The sequence below is a fragment of the Homo sapiens genome, chromosome 5 (assembly GCF_000001405.40).
Source record: "Homo sapiens chromosome 5, GRCh38.p14 Primary Assembly".
Taxonomy (NCBI): Eukaryota; Metazoa; Chordata; class Mammalia; order Primates; family Hominidae; genus Homo; species Homo sapiens.
The window spans coordinates 24,149,486-24,163,936 of record NC_000005.10 but is presented as its reverse complement, the minus strand read 5'-3'; the positions used below and the strand labels follow the sequence as shown (position 1 = coordinate 24,163,936).

The following is a 14,451-nucleotide window of genomic DNA, read 5'->3' as shown; positions in this document are numbered from 1 at the left end:
AAATAAAATATTTTGAAAAAAGGTAAACAAATTTGCCTTTTGCTTTTTGCTTTTCTTGTTGCTTGTAACTGTAAAAAAGTTATTCTGGCAAAGTATGATTTTTATAGGAAGAAGTTATAACTATGCATCTACTTTCCAGTTGGTGTATCTACTTTTCTTTATCACTTTAGCGATGCTTCATTGAGATTCAGGTAATAGCTGTGTTCAACTAATGTTTCATTTGTCCTTAGGTTCAGATGAGTAGGTTTTTCACAAAATGACTCCAGAAAACATCCAACAATTACTTAAAAATGACACCTAGATAAAATTTAAAAATATTATGAATAGAGAGATAATGACAAGCAGAAATTTGGATAACACTATAAAATAACCTTATTAAGAATTTATATTTTTACCTGTGTATTTATCTCCATGTCTACTAATCCATGTATCACTTAAACATCCTCACTGAATTCAAGACAGTTTATACCTTAAATGCATGCATTTGTTAGAACCCTGTCACAAACCTGAGATGGGCATGATTGCTTAGACACTCTTCAAATGATTTTCACATCATCATTTTAACCTTAAGTGACATAGCTCAGTCAATCTGAAAACCGACAGCCAAATTGTTAATGACTAACAAATATGCAACAGGAAATATGCAACATCATCCAGCCCTCATTAGACAAAGGGAATTGGCAAGAGAAAACTGGAGTGACAGCATTCTACAATCTCTCAAGTGAGGATCTAAGTTCATTGTGAGTCATGGGGGACAGATGACACAAGCATAAATACACAGATTTTGAGTGGCTTAGCTCAAAGACAAGGCAGATTTCTTCAGCGGTTAGTCCTACTTTGTACATCCACCTTTGGGGCATCTTGGATGCAGAGGTAAGAACTGCATGTAGAGATGAAGGGCACGGGTGGGTTCCCTATCATGAGGACCTTCAAGGGGGCCACCTCTAATCTTGAAGAACACTAATGTGATTGTAACAACATCTGCAACCTCATTTCTGCTCACTCGAGGGTCGCAATTCTCAGAGAATCAAAATATCTTTCATAAGAATATAAGCTTGATATTATAGCTGTCTTATTCATTGCTGTCTCCTGTTCTAGGTACAATTTTTACTACATAGAAGGTGTTTATTAAATATTAATTGAATGAATGAACCAAGATTTGGGGGAAATATATAGAAATGGCTCACAACCCTGTCACCTTGGAAAGATTGATTTTTTTCCATGTTGATTTTCCAGGACAAACTGATGCCCCCACAAAACACTGATTCTTCTGTGTAACATAAGTCCAAAAACACTGCCATCTCAGACCCACTGACTGCTCCAGATTAATTTAGCAATCTTAGTAGGCTGACCAGTATGAGTGTACTGCTTTATTAAAAACTGGCCAGATGAAGATGTACACAGACAAGCTTCAACAAGATGATTAGATAAGTCATCCAAAGCTACCTTCAGACATCCTGAACAAAGCAGACAATTATAACTCAGAAGACTCTCACTGTTTTAAATTACTTTGAGATTTCAGGAAAAAATAAAAGAAGGAAAAAAAGACCTGTCAAACTGACTAGTTCATAAACTCCAACCAAATAGTATACAGTGGCTAGTCCATACATGCTGCCCAGTTAGACATTTAGATATTACAGATATTACCTCCCATGCTCTTACTGGCTACAGCTGACCAGTTCCAACACATACATATTGATTTTCCATTGCTTTCTAACAACAGCCACAACAATTCAGTGGCATACAATAAAACTGTTTATTATTCAGGCATCTGGGATGGTTGTTGAGGGAGCCTACTTAATTTGGCTGTGGGTAGGATGGCTGTTGATCCAGTAAGACTACCTGTGGCTAGGACAACCTAGACAGCTCACCTTTATTCTAGCTGCCTCTTATCCTTCAGCAGACTAGCGTGAACAGCAATAGCAAAGGCACAACATTTAGGAAAGACCAACAGTGCAAGAGCTTCTGTTTTTTTTTTTTTTTTTTTTTCAAATTTTGGGTTATGTTATGTTTACTAATATCTCATGAACAAAGCAGGTCATAAGACAAGGCCCGAAGTCAGAGTAGCAGGCCAGAATTGGTACTACCATTTCAATTTATCACACACACAAAAAGAATGTGAGTATTAGACACCTTGGCTCTTATAGACAAATTGAAAAATTCCCCATCATAAAAAAATTCCCATGCTCAGAGTCACTCATGTGGGATGGCACTTTGACTGAGATCATTAAGAGCTAGTAGGGAGTGACTCAGTGTATTCTTCTACATTTTACTATATATGATTTCATGCTTTCTCTAGGTGGTAAATATCCAAACATACAGCGACTATGTACCAACCTTGTCCATTAATTTTTAAAAATTTGTAATTTTTGTGGGTACATAATAGGTGTATATATTTATGGGGTACATGAGATGTTTTGATACTGGTGTGCAGTGAGTGATAATCACATCATGTAAAATGGGGTCTCCATCCCCTCAAGCACTTATCCTTTGTGTTACAAACAATCAAATTATATACTCTTTTAGATATTTAAAATGTACAATTAAATTATTAACTATAGACCCTGTTTTACTATCAAATACTAGGTCTTATTTATTCTTTATAATTTTTTTAACTCATAACTGTCCCAGCCTCCTGCACCTTCCATCTCACTACCCTTCTCAGCCTCTGGTAACTATCCTTCTACTCTCTAGCTTCCTGAGTTCATTTGTTTCAATTTTCAGATGCCACAAATAAGTGAGAACATGAGATGTTTGTCTTTTCTGTGCCTCACTTATTACCCTTAGCATAATGACCTCTAGTTTCATCCGCTTTGTTACAAATAACACAATATCATTCTTTTTTACGGCTGAACAGTACACCATTGTATATAAGTACCACATTTTCTTTATCCATTCACCTGTTGATGGACATTTAGGTTGCTTCAAATTTTGGCTATTGTAAACAGTGCTGCAGCATGGGAGAGCAGATAGCTCCGTTACGAATTTCGTTTCCTTATGGTGTATACTCAGCAGTGGGATTGCTGGATCATATGAGAGTTCAATTTTTAATTTTTTGAGAAACCTCCAATCTGTTCTCCATAGTGGTTGTACTAATTTACATTCCCACCAACAATGTGCAAGGGTTTCCTTTTCTCCATATCCTTGTCATCATTTATTATTGCCTGTCTTTTGGATACAAGCCATTTTAACTGGGGTGAGATGATATCTCATTGTAGTTTTAATGTGCATTTTTCTGATGTCCGATGATGTTGAGCACCTTTTCATATCCCTGTTCACCATTTGTATGTCTTCTTTTTAGAAATGTCTATTCAAATCTTTTGATCATTTTTAAGTTGGATTATTAGATTTTTTCCTATGAAGTTGTTTGAGCTCCCTATATATTCTGGTTATTAATCCTTTGTCAGGTGAGTAGTTTGCAAATATTTTCTCCAATTCTGTAGGTTGTGTCTTCATTTTGTTCATTGTTTCCTGCGCTGTGTAGAAGCTTTTTAACTTGACGTAATCCCATTTACCAGTTATTTTTTTTTTCCACTTTGGTTGCATGTCCTAGTGAGGTAGTACTCAAAATTTTTTTCCAAGACCAATGTCCTAGAGAGTTTCCCCAGTGTTGTCTTGTAACACTTGCATAGTTTGAGGTCTTAGATTTAAGTCTTTAATCCACTTGACTTGATTTTTGTATATGGTGGAGATAGGGGTCTAGTTTCATTAGTCTGCATATGGATGTCCAATTTTTCCAGCACCATTTATTGACGAGACTGTCTTTTCCTGAATATATGTTCTTGGCACTTTTGTTGAAAATGAGCTCACGGTGGGTGTATGGATTTGTTTCTGGGTTCTCTATTCTGTTCCATTGGTCTATGTGTCAGTTTTAGTGCCAGTACTTTGCTATTTTGGTTACTTTAGCTCTGTAGTATAGTTTAAAGTCAGGTAATGTGATTACTTCAGTTTTGTTATTTTCCTAGGATAGTTTTGGCTATTCTCAGACTTTTGTTTTTCTACATATATTTTAGGATTGTTTTTCTTTTCTATTTCTGTGAACAATGTCATTGGTATTTTGATAGGGATTGCACTGAATTTGTAAATTGCTTTGGGTAGTATGAACATTTTAACTATATTGATTCTTCCAATATGTAAAGATTGAATATGTTTCATTTTTTGGTGTCCTATGCATTTTTTTCATCAGGACTTTATAGTTTTCATTTTAGAGATCTTTCACTTCTTTGGTTACATTAATTCCAATGCTTTTAATTTTATGTGTGACTATTGTAAATGAGATTTTTTTAATCTATTTTTTTCAGATTGTTCACTGTTGACATACAGTAATGCCACTGATTTTTGTATATCGATTGTGTATTCTGCAACTTTACTGAATTTGGTTATAAGTTCAATAGTTTTTTGTTGAGTTTTTAGGTTTCTCCAAATATAATATCACATCATCTGAAAACAAGGCTAATTTGATTTATTTCCTTATTATTTGGATGCCCATTATTTCTTTCTTATGTCTAGTTGCTCTAGGTAGGATTTCCAGAGCTATGTTCAATAACAGTGGTGTAAGTGGGCATCCTTGTCGTGTTCCAGATCTTAGAGGAAAGGTTTTCAGTTTTTTTCATTCAGTATGATACTAGCTGTGGGTCTGTCATATATGTCTTTTATTTTATTGAGGAATTTTTTTTCTAAATCCAGTTCTTTTTAGTTTCTTTTAATTATGAAGGAATGTTGAATTTTATTGAATGCTTTTTCAGCATCCATTGAAATAATCACATGGTTTTTATCCTTTATTCTATTGACATTATGTATCACATTGATTTGCAAATGTTAAACCATCCTCACATCCCTGGGATAAAGTGATTCTACTTGGTTATGATGAAAAATTTTTCTAATGTATTGTTGAATTTAGTTTGCTAGTATTTTGTTGTGGATTTTTGCATCAATATTAATAAGAAATATTGGCTTGTAGTTTTCTTTGATTTCCTTTTTTTGATGTGTCTTTGTCTGGTTTTGGTATCAGGGTAATACTGACCTTGTATAATGAATTTGGATGTATTCTTTTCTCCTCTATTTTTTAGAATAGTTTGAATAGAATTGGTATTAGCTCTTCTTTAAATGATTGTTAGAATTCAGCAATAAAGCCCTCAGGCCTCAGGTTTTTATTTATTTGGAGACTTTTTAATGCTATTTTGATCTTCGTATTTGTTTTGGTCTGTTTAGGTTTTGGTTTTTTTTGTGGTTCAATATTGGTAGGTTGGATATGTCTACAAATTTGTCCATTCCTTCTGGATTTTCCAATTTATTGGCATATAGTTGCTTATAGTAGCCACTAATGATCTTTTAAATTTCTGTGGTATCAGTTTTTAATGTCTCCTTTTTCAACTCTTATTTTATTTATTTGTGTCTTCTCTCTTTTTTTTTAAATCTAGCTAAAGGTTTGTTAATTTCATTTTTCTTTTAAAAAACAACTTTTTAATTGAAGTTTTGTATTTTTTTCTTATCAATTTCATTTATTTCAGCTCTGATCTTTATTATTTATTTTCTTCTACTAATTTTGGGTATGGCTTGCTCTTAGTTTTCTATTTCTTTAAAATACATCCTTAGGTTATTTATTTGAAGTTTTTCTTATTTTTTTGATGTTGGCATTAGCTACAAACTTCCTTCTTAGTACTATGTTTTCTGTATCCCATTAGTGTTGGTTTGTTGTGTTTCCATGGTCATTTATTTCAAGAAGTTTTTCTACTTCCTTTTTAGTTTGTTCATTGACCCACTGTCCATTCAGGATCATAGTGTTTAATTTCCATGTAGTTATATATTTTCCAACGTTTATCATTTTATTAATTTTTAGTTTTTTTCCATTATAGTCAGAGAAGTTGTATTATATTATTTCTTTTTTTAATGTTTTAAGGCCTGTTTTGTGACCTAAAATATGGTCTATCTTTGAAAATGACGCAAGTGCTGAGGAAAGTAATGTGTATTCTGCAGCCATTGGGTGAAATGTTCTGTAAATATATGTTAGATTCACTTGTTCTATAGTGCAAATTAAGTGTGATGTTTCTTTATTGATTTTCTTTCTGGATGGTCTGTCCAATGCTGAAAGTGGGGTATTAAATTCTCCAGCTATTATTGTATTGGGGCCTATATCTCTCTTCAGCTTTAAAAATACTGGCTTTATATATCTGGGTGATCCAGAATAGAGTGCATACATACTTAAAATTGTTATATTCTCTTGCTGAATTGGTACCTTCACCATTATATAGTGACCTTCTTTATCTTTTCTTATGGTTTTTGTCTTGAAATCGATTTTGTTTGATATAAGTATAGCCATTCCTGCTCTATTTTGGTTTCCATTGGGATGGCATGTCTTTTTTTTTATCCTTTTATTTACAGTCTATGTGTCTTTATAGGTGAGGTATGTTACTTGTAGGCAACAGATCAGTGGGTCTTGTTTTTTCATTCATTCAGCCATACTATTGGAGACTTTGGAATGTAAATAATAACATTTACATTCAATGTTATTATTGATAAGTAAAGACTTACTCCTGCCATTTTAACAATATGTTTTCTGGCTGTTTTGTGGTCTTCTCTTCCTTGCTACTCTTTTTGTCTTCCTTTTTATAAAGGTGATTTTGTCTGGTGATATGACTAGTTTCTTGCTTTTTATTTTTTGTGTTTCTGATATGTGTTTTTGGATTGAGTTTACCATGAGGGTGGCAAATACTATCTTATAACCCATTATTTTAATTTGACAACAACTTAAATACTATTTGCATAAACAATCAAGTAAAAAAATGAATAAAGACTCTCTGTCTTAATTTTGTCCCCCTAATTTTTAAATTTTGTTGTTTCTCTTTATGTCTTATTGTACTGTTTATGCATTAAACAGCTGTTGTAGTTATTATTTTTGGTTGGTTCATCATTTAGACTTTCTACTTAAGAGAAGAGTAGATTACACACCACGATTACAGTGTTATAATATTCTGTGTTTTTCTGTGTACTGACTAATACCAGTGAGTTTCGTACTTTCAGATTATTTCTTCTTGCTCATTAATGCCCTTTTCTTTCTGATTGAAGAACTCTCTTTAGCATTTCTTCCAGGACATTTCTGGTGTTGATGAAATCGCTCAGGTTATTATCTGGAAAAGTCTTTATTTCTCCTTCATGTTTGAAAGATATTTTCACTGGATATACTATACTAGAGTAAAAGTTTTTCCTTCAGAGCATTAAATATGTTATGACACTCTATTCTAACCTATAGGATTTCACTGAAAAGTCTGTGACCACACATATTGGAGCTCCATTGCATTTTATTTGTTTCTTTTCTCTTACTGCTTTTAGAATTCTTTCTTTATCCTTAACCTTTGGGAGTTTGATTATTAAATGCCTGAAGAAGTATTGTTTGGATTAAACCTGCTTGCTGTTATAACATTCTTGTACTTGGATATTGATATCTTTCTCTAGGTTTAGAAAGTTCTAGTTATTATCCCTTCAAGAGAACTTTCTACCCTTATCTATTTTTCTGCATCTTCTTTAAGGCCAATAACTATTAGACCTGCCCTTTTGAGGTTATTTTTTTAGATCCTGTAGATGTGCTTCATTGTTTTTTATTCTTCTGTGTCTTCTGTTTTTTTTCAAACAGCCTGTTTTCAGGCTCAATAATTCTTTCTTCTGCTTCATCAATTTTGCTATTAAAAGACTTTGACACATTCTTAAGTAGGCCAATTGCAGTTTTCAGCTCTAGAATTTCTGCTTGATTCTTTTTACTTATTGCAATCTTTTTGGTAAATTTAACTTTTAGAATTCTCAATTTCTTCTCTGTGTTATTTTGAATTTTTTTGAGTTTCCTAAGCACAGCTATTTTGAATTCTTTGTTTGAAAATGCCACATATCTCTGTTCCTCCAGTATTGATTCCTGATGCTTATTTACTTCATTAGGTGAGTTAATGTTTTCCTGGATAGACTTGATACTTGATATTTATTTGTGTCCAGGCTTTGAAAAGTCAGGTATTTATTGTAGTCTTCTTAGTCTGGGCTTGTTTTTACCTGTTTTACATGAAAGGCTATTTAGATATTTGAAATGACTTGTGTGTAGTGATCTCAGCTTTATCTACTTCAGGGGCACCCCAAGCCCAGCAACGTTGTGGTTTTTGAAGACTTGTAAAGGTAACTTCTTGTTGGTCTTGTACAAGCCTGGAAGAATTATCTAGCCTGCTGTAACCACTTCCTGGCTACTGCCTACATTTGTTGAAGTCCCTGAGTCTCCACAGTCAGCAGATGGAAAGGAAAAGCAAGGCTAGCCAGAACCGTTTCCTTCTCTTCAGAGTGGTGAGTTCCCCAGGCATCGGTTGGGTCCAGAGGTCCTGTTTGGGATTCATGGACTAGATTAAAATATGTTAGAACCCCATGTTCTACCTGATGTAGTCCTTCCCACTTTTCCTTCCACTTTCTAAAGTCAAACGAGCCTCCCTCCATGGCCACGGCCACCACGGACCCACAAGGAGTACTGTCAGACTACCGCGGATGATCCTTTAAGGCCTAAGATCTATTTAGTCAGCTTGTGATGAATGCTACCTGGCCTGAGACTCACTCTTCAGGGCAGTGAGCTAAAGTCTTGCCCAGGGCAGGTCCAGAACTGCCATTCAAGAGCCAAGTCCTGGAATCAGGGACCCTAAGAACTTGCTTGATGCTCTGCTTTCTCTGCCTTCCTGTGGCTGAGCTGGTACCTAAGGTGCAAGATCAATTCCTCTTTACTTTTTCCTCCACTTTTCTCAAGTAGAAGAAGTCCTGCCCCATATCCACCACAGCTCTAATGGTCTGCATCTCATTTGAAGCCAGGAAGTTTCAGAGGCTCATCCAAAGCCTTCAACATAGTAACTTGGTTTTACTGCTGGTTATTCAAGGCCAAGGGGCTCTTTGGTTAGCATGTTATGAATGCTTCCAGGACTGGGTTCTTTTCCCTTCTGAGCCAGCGTACTTCTAGGAATGCCATTCTATAGCTAGTGTCTGGAAAGGGGGCCCCACGACTCTGACTGGTGCCCTATCCTGCTGTTGCTGGGCTGGTATCCAAGATGCAAGACAAAGTCTTCCCTACTCTTGCCACTCCCCCATTCTTCCTTCTTATCTCTTCACACCTAGAGAAGAGTTCTCTTTTGGAACCATGAGCTGTGGATCCTGGGTTTAGGAGATGGGTGCTGCCAGCATTCACTTGCCTACCGTGGCTGGTGTCTCAATAGGTCACGTGCCCCACCATTCCACTGTCTCAGGTCCAGTTAAGCACTAGGCCTTACCTAAGATTTGCCTTCCTTTTGTCCTAGATATTCTTTCAAATTTATTTAGGGCTCCACAGCACTTTTGTCCACAGTGGTGAGGCTTGCAGGAACTCAATTTCAGACTACTGGGATCGGTGAGTCCCCTCTGGGTAGGCCTCGTTATATGTTCCCCATGGGTAGGCATCAGTTGAGTTTGGTCTGGTTTTGTTTTCTGTTATAATAAAGCAGCACTGAATTCACTACCTCAAAATTGCTGCTCTCACCCTCTCATCGGCACACAGAAAATCTATCCATAGCATGCCAACACTGCTGCCAGGGGATAGGGTAGTGATGGTGTCAGTGTTCCAAGACTCTTTACCTCTTCAGTGCCTCAGATACGAAGTTAAAACCAGGTACTATGAGTGTTCACCTGATTTTTGGTTCATATAAAGGCGCTTTGATTTTGTAGATAGTTGCTAAGTTGATGTCCTTGCAGGAGGGTTGATCAGTGGAGGCTTCTATTCCACCATCTTGCTCTGTGTCTCCTAGCATATCTGTTTATTTTTATACGTTAATAACCAATTTATATATAGTAATGTATTCCTCATATTTTTAGGCACATATTTATTTAATTAATCTTAAAATTTTTAAAGTATGTTATTTATTTGTTTTTTTGAGATGGAGTTTCACTCTTGTCGCCCAGGCAGGAGCACAATGTGCCATGGCACAATCTCACCTCACTGCAACCTCCACCTCCCGGATTCAAGTGATTCTCCTGCTCAGCCTCCCGAGTAGTTGGGATTACAGGCATGCGCCATCACAACCAGCTAATTTTGTATTTTTAGTAGAGACAGGGTTTCTCCATGTTGGTCAGGTTGGTCTCGAACTCCCAAACTCAGGTGATTCTCCCGCCTTGGCCTCCCAAAGTGCTGGATTACAGGTGTGAGCCACCATGGCTGACCTGTTATGTTAAATATTGTTACATGTGTCTAGTCCTTAAGAGGCATACAAGGTTCACAGAATAATTTATGTTTTCAAGCCTGCCAGAGGAAATAAATTATAACAGAATTGGCTTAGAGTGTCCAAGTTTTGCATTTAGTCACAGTCAGTCATATGTGTCTCTATCACGACCTCCTAATGTGAATTTTAACTGTTTTCAATGAAGTGAATCAATAAGCTCATTAATAATCTATATCTGTTAAATATTAAGGTATGCTTGATCAGAGAAGAGCACTTTAGGCCAAGTAAAGTTAATTTGTTTAACTGTAATAACAAATTGAATTATGAGCTCACTATTCATGTTCTTCTAGAAATGAATGAGAGTCGTTATTATGAATTAACTTCTTAATAAGGATAATTGACATTTAAAGGGAAACAGGAAACATTGTAATCGTGACATGTCATTAGAAAGCCCCTCTACAGATGGCACAATGAGCTGTTTTCACTTCTACTCTCTGCCAACCTGCTTTTTTTTCTTTTTTTGTATTAAGTATTAGGCAGCATGGACTAAGTCAATACAAATATCACTCTACCTCAAAGCCCACTTTTATAGTTAAGCCAATTTTTCCCTCCAATTCACTGTTTGCATAAACTACATCAGGAGCTGAATAATCAGTTATTTATTATTTACTTACTGTATTTATTTTCTTGAAAAAGTTTGTACATGATACGAAAAGCACTACTTTTTTGTTGTATTATTCATTCACTTCTCACAAAAATTTGAATCACTAAAATTGAGAGGACATTACACCACCACCATTGGCTTCATATGGCTTAGAATGAACAGTGCTTTATGTTAACAAAAAAATAATGGCACTAAGAATTGAAGTGAATTAATACTTTTGCTATACTGGTATACCCTAAAAAGATTGCAAAATCAAGGTGTGTTTCTAGAAACATAATGAACTTAGTAGTGGTTATAATAACAATAATAATAAATTGAAGAAATTGCCAAGTCAGAGTAGGAGGTCATAACGATAGCTTCTAGACAAGTTAGGCCCAATAATAGGAGATTACAAATGTAATGATCTTATTTTAATTTACATTAGTATTTTTGTAAAATTAATCCTAGTAGCCAAAAAGCATAATATTTATTAATATAATGATTTCAAGTAACTTTAAATCACTGAAAAAATAAAAGCTCACTGTGGATAAATGTAGTTTGCAAATCAGTGTTCAACTTAAGTGACATAAATAAATTTGACAATGTATCCATTATGTTTAATAAGTTAAAATAAGTAAAATTTGATAAACTGAATGGATGCTTATATGACATTATAAATGTAAATACATAATCTTCTCTGTCCAAATGACATTTAAACACAAAAAAAAACTAGTGCAAACTGCTATGGCAATGAGATAAGAAACGTATTATTCAAAGTTTTTAATTGAATTAGAATTTAAAATTTAAACAAAGTTTAAATATCAAAAATATATATAGATAGAAGTATTTCAGGTTTTAGAAAAATTATAAAGATTCAACGCTGTGATAAATCATGACAAATATAGGAAATAGTCAGTAACTTGGTATGGATTGGGCACAGCAACTATATTTAGGAAAAAGAAAAATTCTAGATATAATTCTGGATATTAATATTGGAAGCCCCAAGATTAATAATAAATTTTAGAATAAAAAACAGCAAAAGACAAAGAAGTTGGCTGAGCTAATAAAATGACATTATCTACTTTTAAACAAATTATCTCCACCAAAGAATACACTATTTGTAAATTAATATCAAAAGTGTAAAATGTCAGAATTCTACAGTTTTATGCATCTAAGCAAAAGGCACCCCTTGCTCCTGATCCTATGTATTCAGTATTGTCATGGAATACTGAGTCTGAATACAAAAAATGTTCTGTGCAATGAAACAGTAGAGAATGGCACAATATTTATGTAAGAATAAAATAACTAGCTCTGTCCACTTTCATGGAAATAAAATGTGTATATATAATGTCAGCCTGGCCTTTAAAAGCTTGGTAAATGATGGATAACTGCATTGACTCTTCAGTGAGATGAAAAAATCCAAATAGTATAAAGAAAATTTTATACACTTTTAAAATAGGCTGTTTATATATAATATATATAATATTTTATATATTATTTATAATATTTTATATATTATATATATTTTATATATAATATGTATATTTGTATATAATATGTATAATATTTTATATATAATATATAATATTTTATATATCTCTATACACACACACACACACACACACACACACACACACACACACTAAATTTAGCTGGGCTTTGTGTTTCGTGCCTATTGTCCCAGGTACTCAGCAGGACCTTTAGAGCACAGGAGGTTGAGGTTGAGGTTGCAGTGAGCAAAAATCGTGCCACTGCTCTCCAGCCTGGGCAACAGAGCAACACCCTGTCTCAAATATATATGTAGTAGCTTAATTTGTGTTAGACTGGCGAGAGCACATAGCCCTACTCTCTTAGACTATGTCTTCAAGTTCAGTGACAAAGACTAGTTATTGGAAGGAACTCTTTCTCACAGTCTGAGTTCTTAGATTGTAAACCATGGAATTTCAAATGCTGGCTCCATAATTAATCGTTATTTGTCCTTGGACAATATTATTAAATTTGAAGTCTGTTTACTCTGATGTTATATATAACATCTAGTAAATCCTCATAATGAAGTTACTTCTAATCATTTTTATATTGATGTATTTGATAGATTATTATCCCTAAAAGGTCAAGGGTAAATACTTGTTTAAATTCTCTGATATATCTTGAGCATCCAAACTATTGCTTTGCACAGAGTAGGCCTTCAATATATATTAATATCTTTGATAAATAAATACATATTAAGGGGAATATTTTAAGATTTGGTACAATTTGCTGACCTGCAGAAAGATATTGATTCACTGTGAAGGCTAGATCTGATGTGGTTATACTGAGTTATAGGGCAAAGGAGCTGCAATCTAGAGTAGCATTGATGAAGAGAATTTAGTGGGTTTTCATGATAAAAAAGGAGACATATTTTTGAGGTAACAAAATAATAGAATCAATATAAAATGACAAAAATGGACATGAGAAGCCTAAGGGTCTAGAAACTACCTGCTTCTGATTCATTACATCCTGACCTTACTCCCCATGCCCCATCCCCCCACACACATGCAAAACAAATCTGTGGGTTAAGGTATGGGTCACATATTATTGGTAATGTAGTCAATACTGATGTTGTTCATAGGAAAAGAAGTAACTTCAAGGGAGAATGAATACATTCACTTTAAGCAGGAGAAGTCTGCAATACTCTTATGGCATGTATCTATCATCTATCTATCAATCATATCAATGCAAAAGGAGATAGGAACTGAGTAAAGAATCAGATGATACAAATATTATATTACAAATTATTATCATTATGATCAGAGATTGCCAAGGTTTTTCTGTAAACAACCAGATAATCGATATTTAGACTTTATAGGCTATTTGATATCTGCTACAACTACTCATCTTTGCCACTGTAGTGCAAAAGTAGCTACAAGCAAGGCATAAGAATGAAGAGCGGCCATGTTCCAACAAAACCTTATTTATAAAACAGCTGCTAGGCTGGATTTGGCCCATGGGAAAAGTTGCCAGCAAATAAAAATACAGGACAGTCAATGGTATTTGCATGTCATAAAAATATTTTTAAAGTGTAAGTATGTCTCAGATATTGTATGGAACACATTTATACTAAGAAAAAGGTGTTGTTTATTTGAAATTCAAATTTTGCTGGGCCTCCTATATTTTATCAAGCAACCCTACCCAGGAGACATAGTTTTCCAATTCCTGATTTAGAAACTTGAAATCAGAAAAAATAATGAGACTTAACCATGGCAAAATTGTATAGTAAAAGTAGGAATAATCAAACGGGAATCTGTGAATATATATTTTAGCCATTATTTATTTATTCATTTATTTATTTATTTATTTATTCATGTGTTTGTTTGTTTATTCAAGACAAGGTCTCACTTGGTCACCCAGCACTATCATGGCTCACTGTAACCTTGAACTCCTGGGCTCAAGTGATCCTCCAGCCTCAGCTTCCTGAGTAGCTAGGACGACAGGTGCCCATAACCACACCTGGCTAATTGAAAAACTCAAACTATTAGTGTCCACTCAAAAAGTGGGCTAAGGACATGAATAGACAATTCTCAAAAGAAGATGTACATTGCCAACAAACATGAAACAGTGCTCAACATCACT

General features: G+C 34.5%; 1 long non-coding RNA gene across 1 annotated transcript in view; it reads right to left on the bottom strand.

Annotated features, from left to right (window-relative positions):
- Positions 1–14,451, bottom strand: part of LINC02899 (long intergenic non-protein coding RNA 2899) — a 226,918-nt gene that overhangs the window by 14,329 nt on the left and 198,138 nt on the right. The window lies entirely within an intron of this gene.